Consider the following 25711-nt stretch of genomic DNA (forward strand, 5'->3'; position numbering starts at 1 on the left):
CATGTATTACCATGCCCAGCTAATTTTTTTATTTTTTGTAGAGATGGTGTTTCACTATGTTGCTCAGGATGGCCTCAAACTCCTGGGCTCAAGCGATCCTCCTGCCTTAGCCTACCAAAGTGCTGGGATTACAGACATGAGCCACTGCACCCAGCCTGAGACACTTCTCTAAAAAAATACATAAATAAATAAAAGTTAAAATAATAAAAAATTTTAAAAGTTGTTTAAATAGGGCCGGGCGCGGTGGCTCATGCCTGTAATCCCAGCACTTTGGGAGGCCGAGACGGGTGGATCACAAGGTCAGGAGATCGAGACCATCCTGGCTAACACAGTGAAACCCCGTCTCTACTAAAAATACAAAAAAATAGCCGGGCGTGGTGGCGGGCGCCTGTAGTCCCAGCTACTCGGGAGGCTGAGGCAGGAGAATGGTGTGAATCCGGGAGGCAGAGCTTGCAGTGAGCTGAGATGGTGCCACTGCACTACAGCCTGGGTGACAGAATGAGACTCCGTCTCAAAAAAAAAAAAAAGTTGTTTAAATACATAAAATAATCAAAAGTGAGTATAGATGAAATAAGAGTGGCCATAAGTTCATAATTACTGAAGCTGGAGGAAGGTACTTGGGGGTTCATTACACCATTCTCTCTCCTGTTTCTGTTTGACTGTTTCCATAATACAATGTTAAGAAAGGATTAAACGTGTCACCCCCTCCTAGAAGCCCTCTCACATTCCTCAGTCTGAATTAGATCCCCCTTTCCGGGGCTTGCCAATACACCTGATGTGCTGACCGGCAATTCTGTTGTTTGCCCCTCCCTCTTGGGGGCAGGGGCTGCACTGGCAGGAGAGGTGTGGCTTCCACTTAAGGGTCCGGTATGCCTGCCTCCTCGGGCCAGCCCAGATCATACCCTGCTGGGCAAAGGAGGAAGAGCCAGAGGATCCAGACGCCTTGGAGGACTTGGAACACCTGTAACAGGACAAGGAGTTCTGCTCAGGCACGTGGCCACAGAAAACTACTTAGGAAGCCTGTGGTGAGAACAACAACAGTGCCTGAGAATCCCACGGCTCTGGGGAAGTGAGCCCCGAGGATGAGGCTGCTCGCCTGGCTGATTTTCCTGGCTAACTGGGGAGGTGCCAGGGCTGAACCAGGTACAGCACTGGGAATGTCTGCTATGCCTTTGTTTTGTACTGTGAACTCTGGGGCTGCGGGAAGCTGCTCGCAGCCAGCTTGAAGGTGCTTCTAAAGATAGCAAGGCAGGAGCTAGGCAGGGAGGCAGGTGGGGAGAGCTAGTGGGCCTTAGCAAGTGCTGTTTGAGGCTGAAGATTTTAAGTGGAGGCGCCAGCTGGCCAGGGAGGGACACCGACATTGCGAAGAGGTCTGGGTACGTGAGAGCTAGCTAATTAGTAGAGGTAGGAGGTGGCAGGAAAGATTCGTGGACTCATTCAACAAATGAGGTCCTTTCCTGTACCATACGTTATTCTAGGAGCCAGGGATATATCAGAGAAGAAAAGAAAGTCCCCGTCTCAATGAAGAATTCCTTCATCTGGGGAGAAAAAAACAAACCACACGAACAAGTAAAGTACGCAGCATTGGAGGAGATGATAAGTGTTATGGGGAAAATAAAGTAGAACAGGGAAGGCGGGTTGTGGGGAGGGGGTACTTACAAGACGTCCAGAGAAGAGCTGTCAAATCAGGTGACACTCAAGTGGAGCCTTGAGGCAGTGAGTGGGGGAGCCACATGGGTGTCCAGAACATTACAGGAAGAGAGGACAGTGCACGGGGTCTGAGGTGGACACACAGGAGATGTGCATGAGGAACAGCAAGGAAGCCCGCGTGGCTGAAGCAGGGTGGGCAGGACAAGTGGGGGTGAGGTTGGCAGATGGTGGGGTGGGGCAGGTGCCAAATCATGGATAGCCTCGAAGACTCTCTTGAGGACTCAGACATTTTTCTTTCCACGTGCCTGTAGATAGGAAGGACGCAGGCTTTTGCTCAGGGTGAAATGGGATGTCATTGGAGGGTTCTAGGCACAGGTGTAATCTATTCTGACTTCTGTATGTTTAAAAGGACCCTTGAGGCCAGACGCAGTGGCTAACATCTGTAATCCCAGCACTTTGGGAGGCTGAGGAGGGTGGATTGCTTGAGTCCAGGAGTTTGAGACCAGCCTGGGCAACATAGCAAAACCCTGACTCTACTAAAAATACCAAAAATTAGCTGGGTGTGGTAGTGGGTGCCTGTAGTGCCAGCTACTTGGGAGACTCAGCTGGGAGAATTACCTGAGCCTGGGAGGTTGAGGCTGCAGTGAGCTGTGATTGTGCCACTGCACCCCAGCCTGGGTGACGGGAATGAGACCATCTCAAAAAAAAAAAAGAAAATGAAAGAAAAAAATTCTCTTTATAGCCCCTCTGAAGTAGGTGCTAATATCATTATACCCATTTTGCAGATGAGGCAAATGAGTCTCAGAGGGGACATTGCACTTGCTGAAGATCTCCCAGCTGGGAAATGGCAGGACAAAGCCTGTGCCTGGCTGTACTATGCTTCATGTCCTCTTGGGATGGTGGGGTTTAGAGGTACTATTTTTTTCTCTTTTCTCCAAACTTGCTGGAATGTATTCCTTTTAAAGTAAATTTAAAAGGAATTCCGGGCCGGATGCGGTGGCTCACGCCTGTAATCCCAGCACTTTGGGAGGCCGAGGCGGGCGGATCACGAGGTCAGGAGATTGAGACAATCCTGGCTAATACGGTGAAACTAAAAATACTCTACTAAAAGTACAAAAAATTAGCCAGGCGTGGTGATGAGCACCTGTCGTCCCAGCTACTTGGGAGGCTGAAGCAGGAGAATGGGGTAAACCCGGGAGGTGGAGCTTGCAGTGAGCCGAGATTGCACCACTGCACTCCAGCCTGGGCGACAGAGTGAGGCTCCGTCTCAAAAAACAAACAAACAAACAAACAACAACAAAAAAAGGAATTCCGCAGCACCTGTAAGGTTTTTCCAACTCCAGGTGTCTTCCTGAAGCACAGGTGGATTCTGAGACAGGGGATCAGACAGCATCATCCCTGCTTTGCATTAAACTGTGGGATTTCTGCCTCCACTTTCCTTAGCCAGGAGCTTGGGTGGATGCCAACTTGCTGGCTCCTTCTCCTCCTACACATGTCCTGTGTAACATTTCGCTCCTTCCTCAGCTTCTAACTGCAGAGAAGCAGACAGGTTCTTCCCCTGTGGGTTAGCTTGGTAGGAAAACACTCCCTGGAAGGCCAGCCCAGGGCTGAGGGAGCAGGACCAGGGCAGGAATGGTAACACCTACCTCTGGAGCTATTGTGAACAGAGGGTATTCACTGTAGGTGGTCCGTAAATGTAGGTTTTAACAAATGAACTCCATGGGTTTTGGAGGGCCTCCATTTACAAAGGATGAATTACAATTGTGTTTTGGGGCTAATGCTAGCCTTAATAGCAAAGGACTGAAATAGAGACTGAGACCATTGTGTGGTGTGGGTTATAGGCAATAACAGACAAAAGCCACTGAATCACAGGAGTCAGACTAGGAGGGCCTTCAGGGAACCTCTGTTCAGTACTTTCATCTTATACTTGAGGAAACGGAGGCTGAGGGGCAGTGTGGCCCAGGGAATGAGTCCTAAGGCTGCCTTGCTCACCCCACAGCCAGGTGCTCTGTATAAGAGAACTCTTTTACCTGCACAACTGAGGCAGGAGGTGGGACTGGACTCCAGAGGCAGGGCTTTGACACCAGACCAGATTGAGGACTAGCTAAAATACGGCCTGGGCAAAAGCAGTTTTCAAACACACCCAGCAGTGTGGCATGTCAATTTACCTTTGCAATGGCAACACCCAGGAGTTACTGCCCCTTCTATGGCAGTAACCCAATGATTTAAAAGTTACTACCCCTTCCCTAGAAATTTCTGCATAAATGCCCCTTAATCTCCAGGCAATTAAAAGTGGGTATAAATGTGACTGCAAAACTGCCCTGAGCTGCTACTCTCTGCCTCTGGGGTAGCCCTGCTCTGCAGGAGCAGTCATGGAGCTGTACATCACCTGTTCACCAAAGCTGTTTGCTTCAACCTCAAGCTTGCCCTTGAATTTTTTCCTGGGCAAAGCCAAGAACCCTCATGGGCTAAGCTCCACTTTGGGGCTCACCTGCTCTGCATCACAAGCATCCCTCTGCTGGGTGCATTCTAATCCTCATTTTATAGATGAGGAAACTAAGGCTCAGCTCTGAAAATCCCTTGCTTAAGTTGCCACTGCCTGTATGGAAGAGCCAGGATTCAAAATAAGATGTCCCTGATTGCAGGTTTCATGCATGTCCTTGCAGAAATAACTTACTGCCTGAAGCCAGAAAACTTAGGTCCTACCTGTGGTCCTGCCTTTGAATACCTGTGTGACCTGCAACCTTTATTTTACTGTTTATAAAATAGGGATGTTAGCAGAGGAGAGATTAAATGTGATGGCCTTAAGTGAGATCATGCCAGGTACATTGTAAAATGTTGTAAAAGTTTAAGGAGGCATACACACAGATGGTCCCTGACTTACGAAGATTCCACTAAGCTGTATGATGGGGCGAAAGCCTTAGGCATTCATTAGAAACCACACTTCGAGAAGCCATACAACCACTCTGTGTTTCACTTTCAATTCAGTATTTAATACATTGCAAGAGACATTCAACACTTAATTATAAAATAGGTCTGCATCAGATGATTTTGCCCAACTGTAGGCTAATGTAAGTGTTCTGAGCTCCTTTAAGGTAGACTGGGCTAAGCTACGATGCCCTTTGGTAGGTTGGGTGTGTTGAATGCATTTTTGACTTATGATATTTTCAATTTTGGGGGACGTAGCCCCATTGTAAGTCAAGGAAAACCTGTATATATCTCCAAGGCCATGCTGGTAGGTGGTGGCAGAATATAGTGCACTGTGATCATTTCCATTCTGACGTGCTCGGCATCCCCGGTCTGCCGCTCACTCGCTCAGTTTCCTCATCTGTAAAATGAGTACATCTTAGGATGCATTTCATAATGTTGTCATGAGGCTGCATGGATAGAGTGTGTGGCACAGTGTCTGGCATTCAGTAGGTGCTAAATGAATGGCAGATGCCTTCCTGCCCCCCTGTCTCCAACCATAAGGGAACTCACCTTCTAGCCATTTTAAGAACTTAGGTTTTATAAATGACTATGACTATGGGAGTTCTCCCCACCCCTATCACAAATCATACTAAAAAGATCCCATATCATGTATGATTTTAATTTTTTTATCTTATTTTTCTTTTTTGGAGACAGGGTCTCTATCTGTTGCTCAGGCTGGAGTGCGGTGCTGCAATCATAGCTCAAGGTAACCTCAAACTCCTGGACTTTAGGGATCCTCCTGCCTCAGCCTCCCAAGTACGGAGAAATTAAATTTCTTTTTAAAAAGTAGCTGAGTGTGGTGGCATATACCTGCATTCCTAGTGTGGTGGCTCATACCTGTAATCCTAGCACTTTGGGAGGCCGAGGCAGGCAGATCACTTGAGCTCAGGAATTTGAGACCAGACTGGGCAACATGGCAAACCCCACCTCTACAAAAAAGTACAAGAAAATTTGCCAGGCCTGGTGGCACGTGCCTGTAGTCCCAGCTACTTGGGGGACTAAGGTGGGAGAATCAGTTGAGCCCAGGAGGTTGAGGCTGCAGTGACCCAGGATCACACTGCTGCACTCCAGCCTGGGTTTTTGTTTGTTTGTTTTTGTTTGTTTGTTTGTTTGTTTGTTTTTGTAGAGGCACGGTTTTGAACTCCTGGCCTCAAGTGATCCTCCCACTTTGGCCTCCCAAAGCACTGGGATTACCGGTGTGAGCCAATGCATGTGGCCCATGAGATTTTTAATATTGCTTTTGAAATGAATTGTTGATTTTGATGACTTACTTGATATTTGTAATTTTTGTCTTTCCTGCACTTTTAGAGTCAATGCATTTTTTTCCAAGTCTCAGATATTTCTGTGGGCCTTGCAGAGCTATGAGGCCTTGGGCCCTATGTCTGTTGTCCCTAGTGAGCATAAAGGCCTGGTGATCCCCTTTGGTGAAGGAGGAGGCGGGCCAGGACACTTTTTGCCTGCCCAGGGACGCGCTGTGCCCACCAGTCCTCCTCTTAGAGATGGTCATCTGGGGCAGACAGGCTCTATCTTCATCTTGTTTCCCTTCAGATGTCCTGCCTGCCCTGCCCCTGCACTTTACCTGTGGACAGTAGCCAAGGACACGCTGGGGCTGGCTGGGTAGAACGTGGCCACTCCCCACCTTGTCCTGTCTCTCATGGTGAGAGGGGGCCTTGTAGAACCCCCCAGGAACCAAATGTGGAGTAACCACTGCTTCCCATTTATGAAATCATCTCACATTTCTCATTTTAATTCTCACGAGGGCCCCAAGGGGTAGGGGGCGCTGTTATCTTGATTTTACAGAGGAGGAAACGGGCCCAGGGGAAGGTTCCGCTGTTCACACAGCTATGGGGTGGTGCAGTAGGACTCCCTCCCAGGTCTGTGGCCTCAGCTACTCACTGTACTCAATACCAAATTTATTTATCTTCTCAGTAATAAATGAATAATAATGATAGCTGAGATTGGTGTACCTTTCTATAAAACTCAAGTTATAGATGAATACTGTCTTACTGTAAAAGGTCCAAGCAGTGCGAATGTAGAAAGCCTCTTAACTTTAACAAGATCCCCAGTGAAGCATCTGAACAGTAACATTTGAGAAGTTCTGGTCTAAAGGGTAAAGCATTAAAGTACCCAGGCGCCCACACCTCCCCAGTCTCACTCCTGGCCCAAGGGGTAATTGCAGGTAACGGTATGGTGCGTTGGGATTGTCCTCTATGAGCCCTTTCTCCTTCACTATCTTATTTGATGCTCACTGAGAGGCAGGCCAGATGTCAACATCCTCTAGCTCAGTGAGGCCTGGTGGCTTGCCCAAAGCCCCTAGGCAAACACATGGAAGAGGCTGGATTAGAAACCAGATCTCCCACCTCCCCATCCATGGTCCTGACATGCTAATTAGAGCTTAATTATTTTGATGTAGGGCCTGGAAGCTGATGGATCCCATATTCTTATGGAAAGCATGTATTTATTATTACAGCCACCTTCTGGGCGGCGGGGGGTTCCAAGTCAACAGGCATGACGACATTGTGTCTCAGCTTTGGGGTCAGAGAGGTCTGGGTTTGAGCCTTAGTTTGCTTATCTATGCAGTGGGCATAAGAATCCCTATCTCACAGACTGGCTGCCAGGATGAAATAAGACCAGTGTATGAAAGTCTGGGCACCTATCCAACACTGTCTGAGTGCCTACAATTCTAACTGGCCTCCCCACAGCCTTGTTCATTCATCGAATGTGCATTTGCACGTCTTCCACGTCCCAGGCACCCTTCTAGGCACTGAGGACATAGAGGTAAACAAGACGGGCTTGGTGCTCTCATGGAACTGACATTGTAAACAGGGAAGATGGACAATAAGCAAGCCAACAAGGTAAGTTCACATGTGATAGTGCTCTGAGAAAAAGGAAGCTGGGGAAGAAATAGCGACCAGACAGGCAGGAGAGGTGGCACTTGAGATGAGGTGGTCAGGGGAGTCTTCTGAGGAGGTGACCTTGGGGCAGAGGCCTGAATGAGGAGGAGGCAGCCGCATGATGATGTGGGAAGATTGGGCGAGGCCATGGCGTAGTCAGGGAAGAGGCCCTGTGAGGAGAAGCAGCTTGGCTGAGGGTGGTGGGTTGGGCTGAGCTGACAAGGTCGCTGGGATCTGCACTCCCACAATGAGGAGGCTGGACCCCAAGGAGTTGGAGCTGCCCACCTGGACCCCAAGGAGGTGGAGCTGCCCGCCTGGACCTCTGGCTCTCTCCACCATTCTGTCCACTAGCCTGGCCTCTCCTGGAGTCAGCACACACACATGCACACACACAGACACACACGCACACACACATAAACACACATGCATGTACACACACCCTTCAGCAGTATGTGCCAGAGAGGCTGGAAAGTAGTTTCAGTTCTACACACTGGCTGGAAAACGACAACTGACAGGTGAGATGAGGAGTTTCTGGAGTGGAGAAATGTTCCTGAATACTTTGAGGGCTGACGTCAAAGGGGCCAAACTGCTCAGTGTTTGTAGTTAACTGAGAAAGAGCCAGCTTGAGGCAGGGGAATAGCCTCTTTCTCTGTCTGCAGAGGAAGCGCAAGGACCATGTGCCCAAGAGAAAGGCAAAGGGCCTCCCCCAACATCCATCCTGGCCAGCCTGGCTCCGGGCTTGGAAGCAGGTGAGAGCCACTCACGGTCTCAGCTCAGGGACTTGGGATGCCCAGCAACTCTGCCCACCAACTAACTGGTATGAGGCAGTTCATTCCTTTACTCTGGCTTGGGGTTTTGTCACTGTATTCTTTTTAATTTTTTTGAGACAGTCTTGCTGTGTCGCACAGGCAGGAGTGCAGTGGTGCAATCTCGGCTCACTGCAACCTCCGCCTCCTGGGTTCAAGCGATTCTCCTGCCTCAGCTTCCCAAGTAGCTGTAGCTGGGATTAAAAGAGTGTACCACCATGCCTGGCTATTTTTTTGTTTTTTGTTGTTGTGTTTTTTTTTGAGATGGAGTCTCGCTCTGTCGCCAGGCTGGAGTGCAGTGGCACAATCTCGGCTCACTGCAACCTCCGCCTCCTGGGTTCAAGCAATTCTCCTGCCTCAGCCTCCTGAGTAGCTGGGATTACAGGCGTGAGCCACTGTGCCTGGCTGAATTTTATTTTCTGTAGAGACGAAGTCTTGCTTTGTTGCCCCTGCTAGTCTTGAACTCCTGGCCTCAAGCAATCTTCCTGCCTTAACCTCCCAAAGTGCTGAGATTACAGGTGTGAGCCACTGTGCCACCATGCCTGGCAGGAATATATTAGTGATCACAATATGTGTGGAAAGGTTAAATTTTCCCCATTATAAACAAAGGCTCAGTTTGGATAAAAAATAAAAATGTGGGAATATGCTGTCAACAAAAAGACCCATCTAAAATAGAAAGGCACTGGTTTTTAACCCCTTTCACAATCACATCTTCCTGGGAGGGATTGGAGCCCAGAGATCCCCATCATTTACCATGTGATCTTAGGCATGTTGACCTCCAGACCTTAGTTTCCTTATCTGTAAAGTGGGATAATGTTCCCAGGGCTCTGCGGAGAACACTGTAACAATGCATGTGGGAGGGATAATGATTTGCTTAATCAGCCATTTACACTTTAGTATGAATGTGTTTCACATCCTTTCCTGAGACTGTTTAGATCAGGAGAGGTGGGGAAAAGCTCAAGAGCATCTGGGAGGGAAAGTCAAGGAGTGAGGGTCAGGGGCCAGCCTTTATCTGCAGGCTGTCCACTGAATGTCCTGTGGCCTGGGTGGGGCCCTGGCTATCCAACCCTGAGATCAAAAGAAGTCCAGTCTCCCAGGCCCAGACACAGCTTCTTGGGGCCAGTGATGTTGACTTGTGGCTCTAGGTGACACAAGAAATGGGGGAGGAAGTGATTGCAATAGCAGAGGGTGAGGAAATCCTGGGCGTCATTCTTGTTTTATCGAGAAACAGGATGAACAGAGGCCAGATCTGCTCAACCCTCCTTCAGTAAGCAGTCATTGAAACAACTTGTGCTGGCCAGGTGCGGTGGCTCACGCCTGTAATGCCAGCACTTTGGGAAGCTGAGGCGGGCGGATCACCTGAGGTCAAGGAGTTTGAGACCAGCCTGGCTAACATGGCGAAACCCCATTTCTACTAAAAATACAAATACAAAAAAAAAAAAATTAGCTGGGCGTGGTGGCGCATGACTGTAATCCCAGCTGCTTGGGAGGCTGAGGCCAGAGAATCACTTGAACCCAGGAGGCAGAGGTTGCAGTGAGCCGAGATTGCACCATTGCACTCCAGCTTGGGCACAGAGCGAAACTCTGTCTCAAAAAAAAAAAAAAAAAAAAGAAACTACTGTGCCAGGCCGTGTTGGGTTCGCATGAGAAGTCTACTCCATCTCACCTGTTTCTTTGGATTCCTTTCTCTTTATTACACTGTGAAGTTTTTTGCCACTTCAGCCTCCTTTGGTCGGAAACTGAGTCTAGGTTTCGGTCAATCACCTCAGCAAGCAGGACCACTCCCAGCTGCTTGAGCCACACCTTGGATCCAGAATCACCAGCAAATATACCTACCAGAGGAGGTCAGCCCGATCTGAAGTGGCGTTCCTTTTTCCCTGGTCTAGTACTCTTATACTCACTTCCACATGTAGTCCCCAGGTTTTTGCTGTTTTTGTTTTGTTTTGTTTTGGAGACAGAGTCTTGCTCTGTCACCCAGGCTGCAGTGCAGTGGCATGATCATGGCTCACTGCAGCCTCCACCTCCTGGGCTCAGGCGATCCTCTCACCTTAGCCTCCTGAGTAGCTGGGACCACAGGTACATGACCCCACACCCGACGAATTTTCTAAATTTTGTGTAGAGATGAGGTCCGCCTATGTAGCCCAGGCTGGTCTTGAACTCCTGGCCTCAAAGAATCATCTTACCTTGGCCTCCCAAAGTACTGGGATTACAGGCATGAACCACTGCACCCGGGCTTTGCTGGTATTGCTTAGCAAGGTTTTCCAGCTCATTTGGTGTGTAAGCCTTTTCCATCCAGGTCAGACTTTTTTCTTTTTTTTTTTTTTTAATTTTCCAAGAAATTCCAGGACAGGTCAGATTTTCATATGTAGTTATATTTCCCTGCAGCATGAGAGGATATGGCTCTAGTTAATGGGCTTAGAAAAGTGACATAGCCCAGGTCACACAGCTCCTAAGTGGCTCAGAGCCTGAGCACTTAACCCATACCCTCTCCCGCCTTTGCTTTAAAACAAGCCCCCTCATTAGAATGCCTGAGCTCTAATGTTGTGGCTGCCCATCCAATGTGGGGAGGAGGACGGGGCCTTGCCAAAGGTCAGCGCTCAGGGATGGAGCTGAGCCTGTTCTGTGCTCTGCTCAATGTGTCCCTGGGCAGAGCCAGGCCTGTGGGCCTTTTCTCTGAACCCGGGGTGCTCAGAGAAGACTTCCATTTGCCTGTGTAACGCCCCTGCCCCAGCCCAGGGCTCCCCTGGACTTCCTTGCTTCCAGGCTGAGAGAGAGACCAGCTTTGAAGGAGGATGTTTTTTCCCCTGCAGGGAAGTTCTGGCACATCGCTGACCTGCACCTTGACCCTGACTACAAGGTATCCAAAGACCCCTTCCAGGTGTGCCCATCAGCTGGATCCCAGCCAGTGCCCGACGCAGGCCCCTGGGGTGACTACCTCTGTGATTCTCCCTGGGCCCTCATCAACTCCTCCATCTATGCCATGAAGGAGATTGAGCCAGAGCCAGACTTCATTCTCTGGACTGGGTGAGTACAGTTGAGGTGGCAGCTACCCTTTGCCAGGCATCTGCTATGTGCTACATACCAGTCTGGCCCTTTGCCCACATTATCTCCCTTAATCCTCACATCAGTCTCACGTGAGGCTGAGGAACCTAAAGCTCAAAGGAATTTTGTAACTTGCCCGGGGATTCCTGAGTCCAACTGATTCCACAGTCTGTGTCCTCGACCTCCATGTCTCCTGGCTGTGGCAGAACGCAGCTCTCAATCAGGCTTTTGGACGTGGTCCTGGCATGCCTGGGCACCCGGAGAGTGTCCAGGTTTTAAGCTATGGGTGGACACTGGAGCCATTTCCCCTGGGGCTTAGGGACTCTAAGTCTGAGAGGTCCAAGTGCAGGGAGGGAAGAAGTTATGAGGGCTGAAGGTGGCCCAGCCTGGGGTCCTAGTGTCCTGGCCAGCTGCTGGCCACCCCTGGGCTGCCCAGTGGTCCTGGATTTTCTCACCAGTCAGAGCTCTGCTCTACAGAGTGACAGCTTGAGGGCCGATCCCACTCAGCCGCAGAGACCCAGTTTCTGCTTCCTGTCCAAGGTTGCTGCTCTAATTCCTTCAACTTTCCTGGGAACTTGCCTCCTTATCATTCAAGATTCCCCCATTCCGGCTGGGTATAGTGGCTCATGCTTGTAATTCCAGCACTTTGGGAGGCCGAGGCAGTGGATCACCTGAGGTCAGGAGTTTGAGACCATCCTGGCCAACATGGTGAAACCCCGTCTCTACTAAAAATACAAAAATTAGCCTGGCGTGGTAGTGCACGCCTGTGGTTCCAGCTACTCGGGAGGCTGAGGCAGGAGAATCGCTTGCATTTGGGAGGTAGAGGTTGCAGTGAGCCAAGATCACACCACTACACTCCCAGCCTGAGTGACACAGCAAGACTCTGTCTCAAAAAAAAAAAAGAAAGAAAAAGAAAAAAAGATACCCCCATCTCCTCGCTTGCTCCCTCACTTGGCAGGGCAACAAGTCGTGCTCAGTTGTGGGGTAGATGCTAGGGATCTGAGATGATGGACACCCACACTTGGCTCCAAGGAGCTCACGTTCTTGTGGGCAATGCAGACAAACCCATTGACCCTACCCTTACATCCAAGCAAGGAGAGAGAGTCACCTGGGGGGATGTGGGAACTTCACAGGGCACATGATCCCATCTGGCAGGATTAGGGGAAGGACATCCTGCAGGAGGTGGTGGAGCAGGGGAGCTCTCGAGGAAGGCTGGAAGGAATTCTGACTTTGCGCTCCCTCTACCAGCCTCAGTGGACACTTCTATAAGGCAGGGTGAAACCCATGATGCCCCTAGCTGTGATGTGGTTTGTGGGTGTGACCAGGAAGGACCCTCAGATGAACCTGCCAGGCTGGACACATAAGAAGACATGTGACATTGTCTCAGGAGGGGCCTGGACAGCTCTGGCTTCCTTGGGCTCAGGAATCAATCTAAGAAGAGAGTGAGATTTGGTCCATGACCTTGGGCCTGCTCCCTTGAGGGGAGCTTCTGATTTCTCCGAGAAGGGAGAGCATGTGTAGCATTCAGACAGATGGGATCCCTCAGGAAATTCATGATCCTTTAACAGATGCACATTTTTTTTTTTTTTTGAGATGGAGTTTCGCTCTTTTTGCCCAGGCTGGAGTGCAATGGCGTGATCTTGGCTCACCACAATCTCCGCCTCCTGGGTTCAAGCGATTCTCCTGCCTCAGCCTCCCGAGTAGCTGGGATTACAGGCATGCGCCACCACGCCCGGCTAATTTTGTATTTTTATTAGAGACAAGGTTTCTCCATGTTGGTGAGAGTGGTCTCAAACTCCCGACCTCAGGTGATCTGCCCGCCTCAGCCTCCCAAAGTGCTGGGATTGCAGGCGTGAGCCACTGCACCCGGCCACAGTTGCACCTTTTTTTCCTGGGAAATCTCTGAGACCTTGAAGAGGTACACAGCATCAGATGAGAAGATCTCTAGGACCCTTTACAATTCTTCAATTATAATAAAATTTGACTTCTAAGAGAGCTGCAGTCCCTTTGAGGATGGCCATTAGAAATTAGGTATGTTTTACTACTCAGGAGGCTGAGGCAGGAGAATCGCTTGAACCTGGGAGACGGAGGTTGCAGTGAGCCGAAATTGCGCCACTGCACTCCAGCCTGGGTGACAGAGCGAGACTCCATCTCAAAAAAAAAAAAAAAAAGAAATTAGGTGTTTTTTTGTTTTTTTTTTTTAAGATGGAGTCTCGCTCTGTCGCCCAGGCTGGAGTGCAGTGGTGCGATCTCGGCTCACTGGTGCCCCCTACCACGCCTGGCTAATTTTTGTATTTTTAGTAGAGACAGGGTTTCACCATATTGGCCTGGCTGGTCTCGAACTCCTGACCTTATGATCCGCCTGCCTCGGCCTCCCCAAGTGCTGGGATTACAGGCGTGAGTCACCGCCCCCGGCCTAGGTGTGTTTTTTATCAGACAGAATTAGATTCTCTAACCTAGAAATTAAAAATATGAAATTTTGTCCCTGTGTCTTTGGGTTTCCGGCCTGTCCCCAGGGAGTTTTCAGGGCAAAACAGCCCCTCTTGCTGCCCTAATGTGGGTATCAGAGACACTATAGGATGCAGTGGCTGTGAGCATAGACTCTGGGGCCAGGCTGACTGGGCTCAAATCTTGGCCCCACCACTTTCTAGTGGTGTACACTTAGGTACAATTTTTCCCCCGTGTCTCTGGTGCTTGATTTAGGATAGGCAAAATTCTTAACTTTTCTGTGTCTTGGTTTCTTTATCTGTCAAACGGGCCTAAACTAATAATAGAATTTACATTGCAGTGTTATAATGGGGAAAAAATTAGTGGCTGTGGCAACAACACACAGAAAGTGCCTGGCAGAAAGTCAGCCGGTGTGAGCTTCTAGCAGCAGTATTAATACTATTATGCTAATTAGTTTCCCTGGGGGAATACCTGGGCAGCAGAGGCCCCAGGATTTTGACTGTCCGGACGTCTCCCCATCCCTACACTCCACCTGCCACCATTCTCCTCCCCTTGCCAAGCATTTCTAAGGTGGACCCAAGAATTTTGATTCATGGCATGAAGGGCACAGTGGTCCCAGGGCAGAATCAGTATCTGCCCTGGAAAAGATCTGAACCCTACACTTGAAGCCAGCTTCAAACTCCTTTGAACTCTTCTGGAAAGGAACAGAATTCAGAGATGGCTTCTCAACCCTGAGCTCCCTCGGGGTTTGCAGATGGGACTGGAACTCCAGAGCTTTCCTCTCTAAATAATAATATTCATTACAACCTAGCAGCTACTCTTACTGTACTATATTATGTATATAATTTTCCTCCTTGATGGATACCTAACAAACACTCTGTGAGTAAGAACTGTATTATCCCAACATTACAGATGAGTTAATAGAGGCTCAGAGAGGTTAAACAGCCAATCAAGGGACCCACAGCAGGAAAATGGCAAAGCCTAGTTCTCAGCTCTGTCCCATCTGACTCCACTCTAGCCTGGCCATTCCCCCTCAAGGGGACATCTGAGGCCCAGGTCCATAGGTTTTCCTCTCACTGCAGAGCTGTCCCTTCCTTTTCTTCTGCTGCTTCCTGAGTTGCCTGCCCCAAATTGGCTTGGTGGTGTTTTGTAGTGATGACACGCCTCATGTGCCCGATGAGAAACTGGGAGAGGCAGCTGTACTGGAAATTGTGGAACGCCTGACCAAGCTCATCAGAGAGGTCTTTCCAGGTAAGACTGTGCCATCAGTCCCTCCACAGTGTTCTCGGAACTCTAGGCACTGCCTGGCACAGTGGGACAACAGCAGCAGCGAGTGTCCTGGCTGACCTTCATCCATGGACAGCGATGGCTGTTGGCCAGGTCTTCATGGTGACCATTTCTCACCTTCCTAACAAGCCCGAAGGCAACATGCAAGCCCATGGGCCGGTGGATACACACAGAATCCTATCAAAGGAAATGCCCAGCCTTTCACTGACTTCTGCTCCTGCCTATCTCCAGACTCATGAGCCCTTCTCCAGGTGTCTAGAGTTGCACACAGGTGTCGTCCCTGGGTGAGTCTCACACACAGCCCTTGTGTCCTGCTCTGGAGTTGGCATCCATCACCCTCAAACTGTCCTGGCTGCCAGGGCCTCTGGGAAATGCTAATTTCCAGCCAAGGTGCTGTTTCTTGTTGCTTCCAAGGACTTCAGAGTCTGGCAGAGCAGGCAGGGACTGGGGGTGAGTGAGGCAGCAGCCCTACGGGACACTATAGGGTGAATAGGGTCTGCGTGCCCCATCTGATGGCCCTTGCAAATGTTTTAAAGCAGTCTGCACCGAAAACAACATCCTGGAGGCTAAATCTGGCTGCCAGGCTGCCAACTGGGCGCCTGAGAAAGCAGCCCATAGCCCCCACCCCCACCTTTTTTGGGTTCCAGTACCTCTGCCCCCTCTAAAGATCTTCATCATGGGTCCCAGGACACAGATATGGAGTAATAATAAAAATAAATAATGGCACTAGCAGCAGTTACTCTAGATCAAGTGTAAAGGGTCAGGCTGGCTCTAAGAATATTCAAGCCTTAGCTCCTTCACTGTCACCATAAGCCTTGGGGGAGGTGCTGTGACCTCAATTTTACTGATGAGGGAGGTGAGCCTTAGGGTTAAATAAACTAGTGAAGGTCACATTTACTTAAGAGGCCCAAATCCTGGTGTGAGCACTGCCCTTACTGTCTGTTCCCGCTGCTTCCTTTCCTCAACAAAGTCAATCTAGGCAAAGAGATGCCTGGATGCTTCCAGGTTATCTAACCCAGCCAACCCAAGTCAGGCTGCTTGGTTTCCTTTGTCTTCCAGCAGGGGTCAAACCAGGACATTCCCCTGACCCCAACAGCAGGCACCATTATTCCCAATGTATAGAAAAGGAACCTGTGGCTCCGAGCTAGTCGGTTCCGAGGGAGGGACTCAAACTCAGATCCAACTGGGAGTACCTCTCCTTTGCTTCACATGGGGCTTCTGGAACACAAGTCAAATAATGAGTAAGAAAATGCTTCACTGACTGTTTTGTTTTTTGAGAGAAGGTCTTGCTGTCACCCAGGCTGGAGTACAGTGGCACAATCAAGGGTCACTGCTGCCTTCATCTCCCAGGCTCAAGCAATCCTTCCATCTCACTCTCCTAAGTAGTTGGGATTACAGGCACACGCCACCACGCCCTACTAATTATTTTTATTATTTTTTTATTTTTTTAAGGCTGAGTCTTGCTCCGTCGCCCAAGCTAAAGTGCAGTGGTGCGATCTTGGCTCACTGCAACCTCCACCCCCATGGGTTCAAGTGATTCTCTTGCCTCAGCCTCCTGAGTAGCTGGACTCTAGGCATCCACCACCATAGCCAGCTAATTTTAGTATTTTTGGTAGAGATGGCATTTCACTATGTTGGCCAGGCTGGTCTCAAAGTCCTGACCTCAAGTGATCCGCACGCCTTGGCCTCCCAAAGTGCTGGGATTACAGGCGTGAGCCACTGCGCCTGGCCTGTTTTCAATTTTTGTAGAGATGGGGTTCTTGCTGTGTTGCCTAGGCTGGTCTTGAACTCCTGGGCTCAAGTAATTCTCTCTCTTAGCCTCCCAAAGTGTAGGGATTACAGGCATGAGCCACCATGCCTGGCCTATTGACTATGATTTAACACAAATGTAAATTATAAGATTTTGTAGTTTCTACTACACTTGCATGTTTATTGAATTTCCTAATATCCAAGATGCCATTGACTGAAAGATGCATCATTATGTATAACTAAGAAAAAACAGCTACCAATTATAATCTGACACAGCGCTTTCTCATGGCCACACCTCACTTTTAGAGATGGTACTATGAGAACAAATTGGAAGAGATGAAATGAAGGTATTATCTAGCTGAGAATTCTAAAAACACAAGTCAAGCAGAACACTCCCATCTTATAGATAACTAAACTGAAGTACAGAGAGGTCGAGTAAGTGGCCTAAGAAGAGGAAGGGACTGAAACTCGAGATTCAGGGTTCCACATCATGTGTTCTTCCTGCTGTGTTCAACTTTACCCACCAGAGTCAGCTGTGAACACTGGTCCTCACCTCATCAGCACAGCCAAGTGGTTGACAACACAGGCACGCAAGGCAAACAAATCCAGGGCCCTGGGCCAGGTGCAGTGATCATATGCCTGTAAACCCAGCACTTTGAGAAGCTAAGGCTGGAGGATCGCTTGAGGTCAGGAGTTTGAGACTGGCCTGGGCAACATAGCAAGACCCTGCTTCTACAAAAAATAAAAAAAAATTAGCTGTGTGTGGTGCTGTGTATCTATACTCTTAGCTACTTGGGAGGCTGAGACAGGAGGATCACTTGACCCCAGGAATTTGAGGTTACAATGAGCTATGATCGTGCCACTGCACTGCAGCCTGGGAGGCAAAGGAAGACCCTGTCATGCAGGGCCCAATTCTAGCTCTGGTATGGTTTAGCTGGGTAATCTCATAAAGACTCAGTCTGCTCCCTGTGAAAAAGGAAAATAATGGTACCTGTCCACAGGGTTGTTATGAGGATTAAATAAGGTAATTCATTCACTCATTTAGTCAATCAACAAATAGTTATTGAGCATCCACTATGGGTGAGACACCATTCCAGGAGTAGAAGACATGGCAATGAACAAGACACCAGGTCGCACCCTCATGGAGCTTATGTTTGCAAGGAGCTGGGCACACAGAAGCAGTGAAAACACAGGAGTGAGTCCCTCCCTTCTCATAGGGATTTTTTTTTTTTCTTAAATGGATTCTTAATGGCTGCTGGCATTTACTTTAGAGAGGTGAGGTTTTTCTAGGCAGTTACAGTGATGCGTTTTGACAACCTCCTACTTTGGCAGAGTTCTCAGCATTTCCAGGTCTTGTCGGCTGTACAGGGCAAAGGGTGTGTTAGAGATATTTCCCAACTGGAATGGGAGGCTCCAGCCTCCCTCATTTGTTCCAGGTCACTCCCTGTGATAGACTAAGCTCATATAAGGGCCCAGCCCTGTTCTGAGTCCAAGAGTTATTTTTGTTGATTGTCAAATATTTATTGAGCACCGATTAGGTGCCAGACACTGAGCATAAAATAAAAACAGAAATGAGGCTGTTCATGTGGAGGAAATGAGTCTAATGGGTTCCCCTACACCTCCAGGCCTCATTCACAGGCCCCTTCCTCAGGGAGGCCTCCCCAAACCCACTCCTACCCTCTGTTATTACTCCCATAGCAAGTGGCCATTCCCTTTCTGTGACATCCCTTACACCTCTACTCAATACCTGTCAACCCTATTGAACTGCAGGACCTCTGGGGCTGGAAGCCTGGTTTCCAGTTCTATGCATTGGCTCATAGTTGGTGCTCAATAAGATACTTGCTGACTGCATGGATGAGTGAAACTCCTAAGGCCTCCCAGAGTGACGCAGACCCTTTCCCTAACAGTAAGATGATCTGGAATCAACAGGAATTGGGAACACTAAATTACCAAGTGGCTGATGACGATCGGACTCATTTAGACCTAGTTTTCCCCTTCTCATCATCTGCTGCTTTCCTTCTAACTAGGAAACTTTCTGCTGGGAATGGGTTTAGGGACTGTGATGAAAGAACCCACTGCTCTTCCCTCCAAAGTCTAAGCAAAGTTCAGTCAGATTCTATCAAATGTGGGTTTCCTATCTGTGTCTTTTCCTCATCTGTGCTATCGCTCTTCCCCTTGAGCTCTGATGGCCAGTGGCCAACAGAAAATGATTAACTCCCCCGAGTGCTTTTGCATATATATTTTGATATTTCACCCTTTCTTCCTAGATACTAAAGTCTATGCTGCTTTGGGAAATCATGATTTTCACCCCAAAAACCAGTTCCCAGCTGGAAGTAACAACATCTACAATCAGATAGCAGAACTATGGAAACCCTGGCTTAGTAATGAGTCCATCGCTCTCTTCAAAAAAGGTACCAACACCACCTGCTCCTATCAAGAGCACTTACTGTATGCCAGGGTCTGATCTTCGTCTTCACAACAACCTCTTAGAATAAGTACTGATTTTATCCCCAATTTACAGATAAGGAAGCCAGGGTCATACAGCTTAGAAAAGGCAGTCTTGGGAGCAGACTCCAGAATTAACTCCAAAGCCCTTCCTCTAAACCCCACGACACTGATGATGCTCCTAAGTTCATATTTATTGAGCCTTTACTGTGTGCGAGGCACTGCCCTCTCAGCCTGGTCCTAGACACTTCACAACAACCCTTGGAAGGAGTGGTTTCATTTCCAGCAGGTTTGAACCTTGCCACCACTGACACCATGGGCTGGATAACTCTGTCGCAGACAACTGCCACGTGTGTTGCAGAATGTTGCAAACACTCACTAGAGTGATACCCTCAGGAACACCCCCAGCTGTGACAACCAAAAATGTCTCAGACATTGCCCAGTGTTCTCTTGGGCCAGAAGCACCTGGTTGAGAATGACTGGTTCAGAAACACAGCCAGCCCAAGGTGACTTTGACCCTACTCTTCCCTTTCCTCGGTCTCCTGCTGTTGGGACTCCCCAGTGGTTAAAGCCGACCAGAAGCCTGTGCCACAGAAGCCTGTTGATTTAGTCCACATAGATCAGCTCTTGGAAAAGACAGCTGAGCAGTGAAGGGTCGACAGTGGATCTGGATGGGCAAACACACATCACTGTTAGTCTCACTATGCAGATAAGGAAACCGAAGTATAGAGAGGTGAAGTTACTTTCCCAAGTTGCACAGCGAATGAGTTCCAGAGCCAGGAATTGAATCCAGGCCGCCTGGCTCCAGAGCCTCTGATCTTCCAGATTGATGTCCCACCCATGGGAAAGATGGGAGGGGAAGATGCAACGGAAAAAGAAAGTGGGACATTGAGGTGGAAGGGGCGGAAGCCTGTCTGGCCAGAGGTGGGGGCCTCCTTCATATTGTCCCTGGCTGTGACAGGTGCCTTCTACTGTGAGAAGCTGCCGGGTCCCAGCGGGGCTGGGCGAATTGTGGTCCTCAACACCAATCTGTACTATACCAGCAATGCGCTGACAGCAGACATGGCGGACCCTGGCCAGCAGTTCCAGTGGCTGGAAGATGTGCTGACCGATGCATCCAAAGCTGGGGACATGGTAAGAGGCCCTGCTTCTTTCTTTTCTCATCTGGGGTTATTTCCTGCACAAGTCTCCCGCTTGGCACAAACTCACCCACCCACCCAAAGATGCCCATATCCCAGAGGGTCCTTTATCAGCCCGGCACCAGCAGAGGGCTTCCTCCATCCTCACCACAGCCCTGTGTGCTGGGATCTGGAGCCCACTGCAGATGAGGACCCTGAGGCTCATAAAGAGTGGTGACGGTCCCAAGTCACATAATAAGTGACGAAGCCCAGACTAGAAGACCAGACTCCAAGTCCAGTGCTCTTTCCACTCCCACCACATGCACAGCTGCAGCCAGTACTGTGTGCCAGATCTCCAGGGGATGCCCTGCCCTTGAGTGTGTCCAGCTAGCCTGCTGGCCTGACAGCTCCTCAAGGACTGGCTCAGTGTCTCATTTGCCCAAGTCCTTGCACTGACCAGCCCATCCCAAGAGGATCTCACAGCTGGTGCCCATGAGCATGCACTATGCCAACATTGGGCACGTTGTTTAGGACATTATGCGGATGATCTCAGGTAGCAGAACTATGGAAACCCCGGCTCAGTAGCGAGTCCATCATTCTCAAAACCCCACCAGCTATGTGCTATTCCAGATGAGAAAACAGCAGCTCAGAGAGGTGATACACAGCTGGTGTCTAAGCTGCAGTCTGACTCCAAAACTCATACATTTAACTCTGTCCCCTGTTCTAACTCCTGCCATGGTGGCCAAGTGCCCAGGTGTTGTCAGATGAGTGACTCAAGGAATGTAAGAAACGAATGCACATTACCGTGTAGCATATCACACAACCACGCAAGAATGGTTTCGTTGCAGTGTTCAAGCTCTCCAAGAGAAGAGTAGTCTTTGAAGGATTAGGAAAGCTTCATGGGGGAGGTGCTCTTTGAAGTGTGGGGAGGATTTACAGAAGTGAAAAGGAGAAGGGTACTCCAGGTGGCAGGCACAGAGGTGGGAAGGTATGTGGTGCATTCATTGCAGGGCACAGGGAGAAAGTGGGACATGGAATCCGGGAGGCCTTCAGGGAGGAGATACATTTGGGCCTGTCTACCTGCCTTTGGGGCAATTTGCAGGTTTTGAGAAGTAGAAATGAGGGTCTGGAGAGGGCATCTGTGAGCCTCTTCTGGGAACCCCTCCCTTGTAGGTGTACATTGTCGGCCACGTGCCCCCGGGGTTCTTTGAGAAGACGCAAAACAAGGCATGGTTCCGGGAGGGCTTCAATGAAAAATACCTGAAGGTGGTCCGGAAGCATCATCGCGTCATAGCAGGGCAGTTCTTCGGGCACCACCACACCGACAGCTTTCGGATGCTCTATGATGATGCAGGTATTCAACCTGGAGGGCAACTGCCAGCTCCCTCCCTCCTTCTCTCCCCAGACCCGCTCAGTCCTGCTGTCTCTCTCCTGACAGGTGTCCCCATAAGCGCCATGTTCATCACACCTGGAGTCACCCCATGGAAAACCACATTACCTGGAGTGGTCAATGGGGCCAACAATCCAGCCATCCGGGTGTTCGAATATGACCGAGCCACACTGAGCCTGAAGGTCAGGAGTCCTGCGGAGGCCAGAGGAGGAGGGTGGGAGGGGCTTAAATGCATCACCACCTTCCCTCACTCTCAGCTTATCCACCTTCCCCTGACCACTGAGCCTCAGGAAGGTTGAGCTCCTTCCACCCTTCTCCAGCTCAGGATCAGAACCCTGGAGGCACCTGCCACCGAGTCAGGGCAGTGCCTCACCAAGTCACCTTTTCCCCTGGATGACTGTCACAGCTTCATACCTGGTCTCCCTGCCTCTGGCCCTGCCCTGCTATGGCCCATCCGCTACACAAGAGAGAAGAAACTAATCTCCTATAGCACCACTTTCATCTTGTCTCCGTCCTGCTCAAAAACCTTCAGTGGCTCCCCAGTGCCTTCAAGATAAAGTTGTGTCTCCTTGACCTAGTACTCAAGGCTTCCCACAGTCTGACTTCAAGCCCATTGTCCACATTTTCCGTACACAGACGAGGCTCCAGCCCCTAATTCTTTGGGCAGTCCCTCACCTCGTAGGATGAGCTTGTGGTTGTTGAGATGAAAAATATTATTCCTTTATTTATCCAACAAAATGCATTAAGTGTGTGCCATTGGCCAGGCCCTGTTCTAATCTCAGAAGATATGTAAATTTAAAAACAAAGTCACCCCTCTCCTGGACCTGACATCTTACAGGAGAGGGACAATAAATATGTAGAATTAATTATAGTACTGAGAGAAGGGCTAAGGAGAAAATCAAAACAGTGAGGCGACAGGGTGACAGCTATGGGAGGTGTGTACTGTGTTAGATAGGTGGGAAGGGGAAGTGTCCACATAAGGTGCCATTTGAGTTCTGAGTGTATTGAGGGAGGGAGCCCAGTGGGTATCTTGGGGAGGTGGAGGGAACAGCAAGTCAAAGGCCCCGGGGTGGGAATGTGCGTGGTAGGTTAGGGGAAGAGCACGGAGGCCATGTGGCCACAGTAAGAGGCACAAGGGGAGAGTGGGAGGGGAGGTCCGATCTTGCAGGCCTCCATGAGGACTCTGGATTTGGAGGGTTTTGCGCAGAAGAATGAAATCCTGTGACTTATAATTTTATGGAATCATCATGTCTGCTGTGCAGGGAACAGGCTGTAGGGGCAGGTGGGGGAGCAGTGAGGCCGTTTGGAGGGAAGGACAAATCCCAGATGACAGGATAGTAGCTTGCCCAGGGTGGAGGCAGTGAGATGGTGAAAAGTGCCAGGTCCCAGATGAATTCTGGATGCAGGATTTGCTAGAGTGGATATGAGCTGTGAGAAAAAGGGACGAATCCAGGAGGCTTCCAAGGCTCTTGGCCTGTGCAACGGTAGGCTGTGGCTGCCGATTACTGAGATAAGTGGCAGGGTGATCAGGCTTCGGAGGGTCAGTCAGAGGTCTTGTTTTGGACCTGTTACCTTTGGGAGGGCTAAATGGCATCAAGTGAAAGTGGACAGGGAAGGGGCAAGTTGGAGCTTGAAGAGGTGAGGATAGAGATGTGATCTGGGAGTGGAGAGAGGACATTTAAAGCCAACGACTGCATGAGCTAACCCAGGTCCTTGATTCTAGTAAAGGTAGATTAAGAAGAGGTCTGAGGGGTTTAAAGAGTGGCCTGTTGTCCACATGGGCACTCCAAGGGTCTGAGCAAGGGGAATGGCAGGCTGCACCATCACCCCCTAACAGGCCCTCCATTCTCCTCAGGGAGGGAGTCAGCCCTGAGCTTGAATCCTGGCTCCACCACTCATAAGCTTTTTGATCTTTTGACCTCTGTGCCTCACTTGCTTCATCTGTAAAATGGGAGTAACAGAACCTCGCAGGGTTTGAGGAGGACTACATGAAATAATGGAATGTTCCTGGCACAGAGTGGCCATGCATACGGGCAGCTCCTCTTACCCCGTCTGCAGTGGCCTGAAGCAGGTTCATAAATGTACCTGGAACCCGCTGGACTGATGAACCCTGCAGAGTCTAGCCGTGAACATGCACCTGGGTCCTAGGAGTCTACAGTTCATAATCTCTCTCATGCTTAGTGTTGCTCTTTTTATGTTGCTTTTATCTATTCATTATGTAAATATTTACTGAGCGTCTTCTATGTGTACCCTAGCATGGTGGGACCTGGGGTAAACCTGGGGTCCAATCCTGCTACCACTGAATACCTGTATGAATACCTGTATGACCCTGGCCAAGTGAATTAACCTCTTTAGGCCTCAGTTTCCTCATTTGTGAAACCTAGGTAATAAGCGCAGTTACCTCATTCGATTCAGAGGATGTCTGCCAAGCACAATGGGTGCACAGCTAAGTGCTCAATAACTACTAGTGGTCATGGTCACTGCTCTAAAGAACTTGGGGGCAAATGCAAGGTGCAGGATGGGGATGGAAGCAGACAACTGCTCACAGCCGGTCTACCCCAAACCCTTTTTCCAGGACATGGTGACCTACTTCATGAACCTGAGCCAGGCGAATGCTCAGGGGACGCCGCGCTGGGAGCTCGAGTACCAGCTGACCGAGGCCTATGGGGTGCCGGACGCCAGCGCCCACTCCATGCACACAGTGCTGGACCGCATCGCTGGCGACCAGAGCACACTGCAGCGCTACTACGTCTATAACTCAGTCAGCTACTCTGCTGGGGTCTGCGACGAGGCCTGCAGCATGCAGCACGTGTGTGCCATGCGCCAGGTGGACATTGACGCTTACACCACCTGTCTGTATGCCTCTGGCACCACGCCCGTGCCCCAGCTCCCGCTGCTGCTGATGGCCCTGCTGGGCCTGTGCACGCTCGTGCTGTGACCTGCCAGGCTCACCTTCTTCCTGGTAACGGGTAACGGGGGCAGCGCCCAGGATCACCCAGAGCTGGGCCTTCCACCATTTCCTCCGCGCCTGAGGAGTGAACTGAAATAGGACAACCGAATCAGGAAGCGAAGCCCCAGGAGCTGCAGCCATCCGTGATCGCGCCACTGCACTCCAGCCTGGGTGACAAAGCCAGACTCTCTCCAAAAACAAACCAGAAACAGAAAAGAAATGACGACCCAAGACCCCCCTACAAGCATACTTCTTTTGCGTATTATGTTTAACTCACAAAACAAAGCTCATCATGCGTTTGATTCTGTGTTGTGTTCCTTTTCTTTTCTTTTGAGACGGAGTCTCGCTCTGTCGCCCAGGCCGGAGTGCAGTGGCGCTATCTCGGCTCTCTGCAACCTCTGCCTCCCGGGTTCAAGCGATTCTCCTGCCTCAGCCTCCTAGCTGGGACTACAGGCGCGCGCCAACACGCCCGACTAATTTGTATTTTTAGTAGAGACGGGGTTTCGCCATGTTTGCCAGGCTGGTCTCGAACTCCTGACCTCAGGTGATCCGCCCGCCTGGGCCTCCCAAAGTGTTGGGATTACAGGCGTGAGTCACCGCGCCCGGCCTCTATTCCCTTCCGTATGGAAATGAGGTTAACTCATTTGCAGGAACCTAACGCCCGCCCTCCCCCGACTCGGATCGCTGGCGTGAACCCAGCGGCCCCGTGCTCTCCGGGTATCCCTGGATCGAGGCGCACGCGTTGTTGCAAAGTCTCGCACTTAGGGATTAGAATGTGCCTTTGCGTTTCGTTTTGTTTTGCAACAATACAGGTGTGAGGGATCGCAGCCCTGGTCCAGGCTCTAGTCTCCCCGCCCTCTCGCTTTCTTGGGCCTCCGGGCGCCTCAAAGGTAAAACTAGGCCATTTGAAGCCTGCGAAGCGAAGGGCAGTCGGTCTTCAGGCCTAGCGGGCTTGGCTGGGC

The 25711-nt window shown here is 50.0% G+C and overlaps 1 protein-coding gene across 4 annotated transcripts, besides 5 other annotated features; it reads left to right on the top strand.

Moving 5' to 3' along the window:
* Positions 533–1434: an enhancer, noted in NCBI's record as "H3K27ac-H3K4me1 hESC enhancer chr1:28261145-28262046 (GRCh37/hg19 assembly coordinates)". NCBI's record gives its function as "activates a minimal SCP1, AML or CMV promoter by ChIP-STARR-seq in naive H9 embryonic stem cells {active_cell/tissue: H9 hESC(naive)}" and the evidence as "EXISTENCE:reporter gene assay evidence [ECO:0000049][PMID:30033119]".
* Positions 761–1026: a silencer, noted in NCBI's record as "fragment chr1:28261373-28261638 (GRCh37/hg19 assembly coordinates)". NCBI's record gives its function as "represses an EF-1alpha promoter that drives an FKBP-Casp9 reporter gene in an ReSE screen in K562 erythroleukemia cells {active_cell/tissue: K562}" and the evidence as "EXISTENCE:reporter gene assay evidence [ECO:0000049][PMID:32094911]".
* On the top strand, positions 899–25051 carry SMPDL3B (sphingomyelin phosphodiesterase acid like 3B). 4 transcript variants are annotated; one of them, XM_011541259.3, is made up of 9 exons: positions 899–1143; positions 8174–8263; positions 11131–11344; positions 14964–15061; positions 19114–19257; positions 20253–20425; positions 21583–21763; positions 21848–21981; positions 24375–25051. In XM_011541259.3, exons 1-9 carry the CDS (start codon positions 1083–1085, stop codon positions 24735–24737), a joined length of 1458 nt encoding a protein of 485 aa, XP_011539561.1. In that variant the 5' UTR covers positions 899–1082; the 3' UTR covers positions 24738–25051. The 4 variants fall into 4 exon arrangements, with proteins under 4 accessions (XP_011539561.1, NP_001291508.1, NP_055289.2 ...); NM_001304579.2 differs by lacking the exon at positions 8174–8263 and having other exon boundaries at positions 14893–15061; NM_014474.4 differs by lacking the exon at positions 8174–8263.
* Positions 6317–6611: an enhancer, noted in NCBI's record as "tiled region #12823; K562 Activating DNase matched - State 8:EnhW, and HepG2 Activating non-DNase unmatched - State 13:Ctcf". NCBI's record gives its function as "activates a minimal TATA promoter and a strong SV40 promoter by Sharpr-MPRA in K562 cells, with weaker activity in HepG2 cells {active_cell/tissue: K562 | HepG2}" and the evidence as "EXISTENCE:reporter gene assay evidence [ECO:0000049][PMID:27701403]".
* Positions 9192–9692: an enhancer, noted in NCBI's record as "H3K4me1 hESC enhancer chr1:28269804-28270304 (GRCh37/hg19 assembly coordinates)". NCBI's record gives its function as "activates a minimal SCP1, AML or CMV promoter by ChIP-STARR-seq in naive H9 embryonic stem cells {active_cell/tissue: H9 hESC(naive)}" and the evidence as "EXISTENCE:reporter gene assay evidence [ECO:0000049][PMID:30033119]".
* Positions 9693–10193: an enhancer, noted in NCBI's record as "H3K4me1 hESC enhancer chr1:28270305-28270805 (GRCh37/hg19 assembly coordinates)". NCBI's record gives its function as "activates a minimal SCP1, AML or CMV promoter by ChIP-STARR-seq in naive H9 embryonic stem cells {active_cell/tissue: H9 hESC(naive)}" and the evidence as "EXISTENCE:reporter gene assay evidence [ECO:0000049][PMID:30033119]".

Source organism: Homo sapiens, chromosome 1 (assembly GCF_000001405.40).
Source record: "Homo sapiens chromosome 1, GRCh38.p14 Primary Assembly".
NCBI classification, from domain to species: domain Eukaryota; kingdom Metazoa; phylum Chordata; class Mammalia; order Primates; family Hominidae; genus Homo; species Homo sapiens.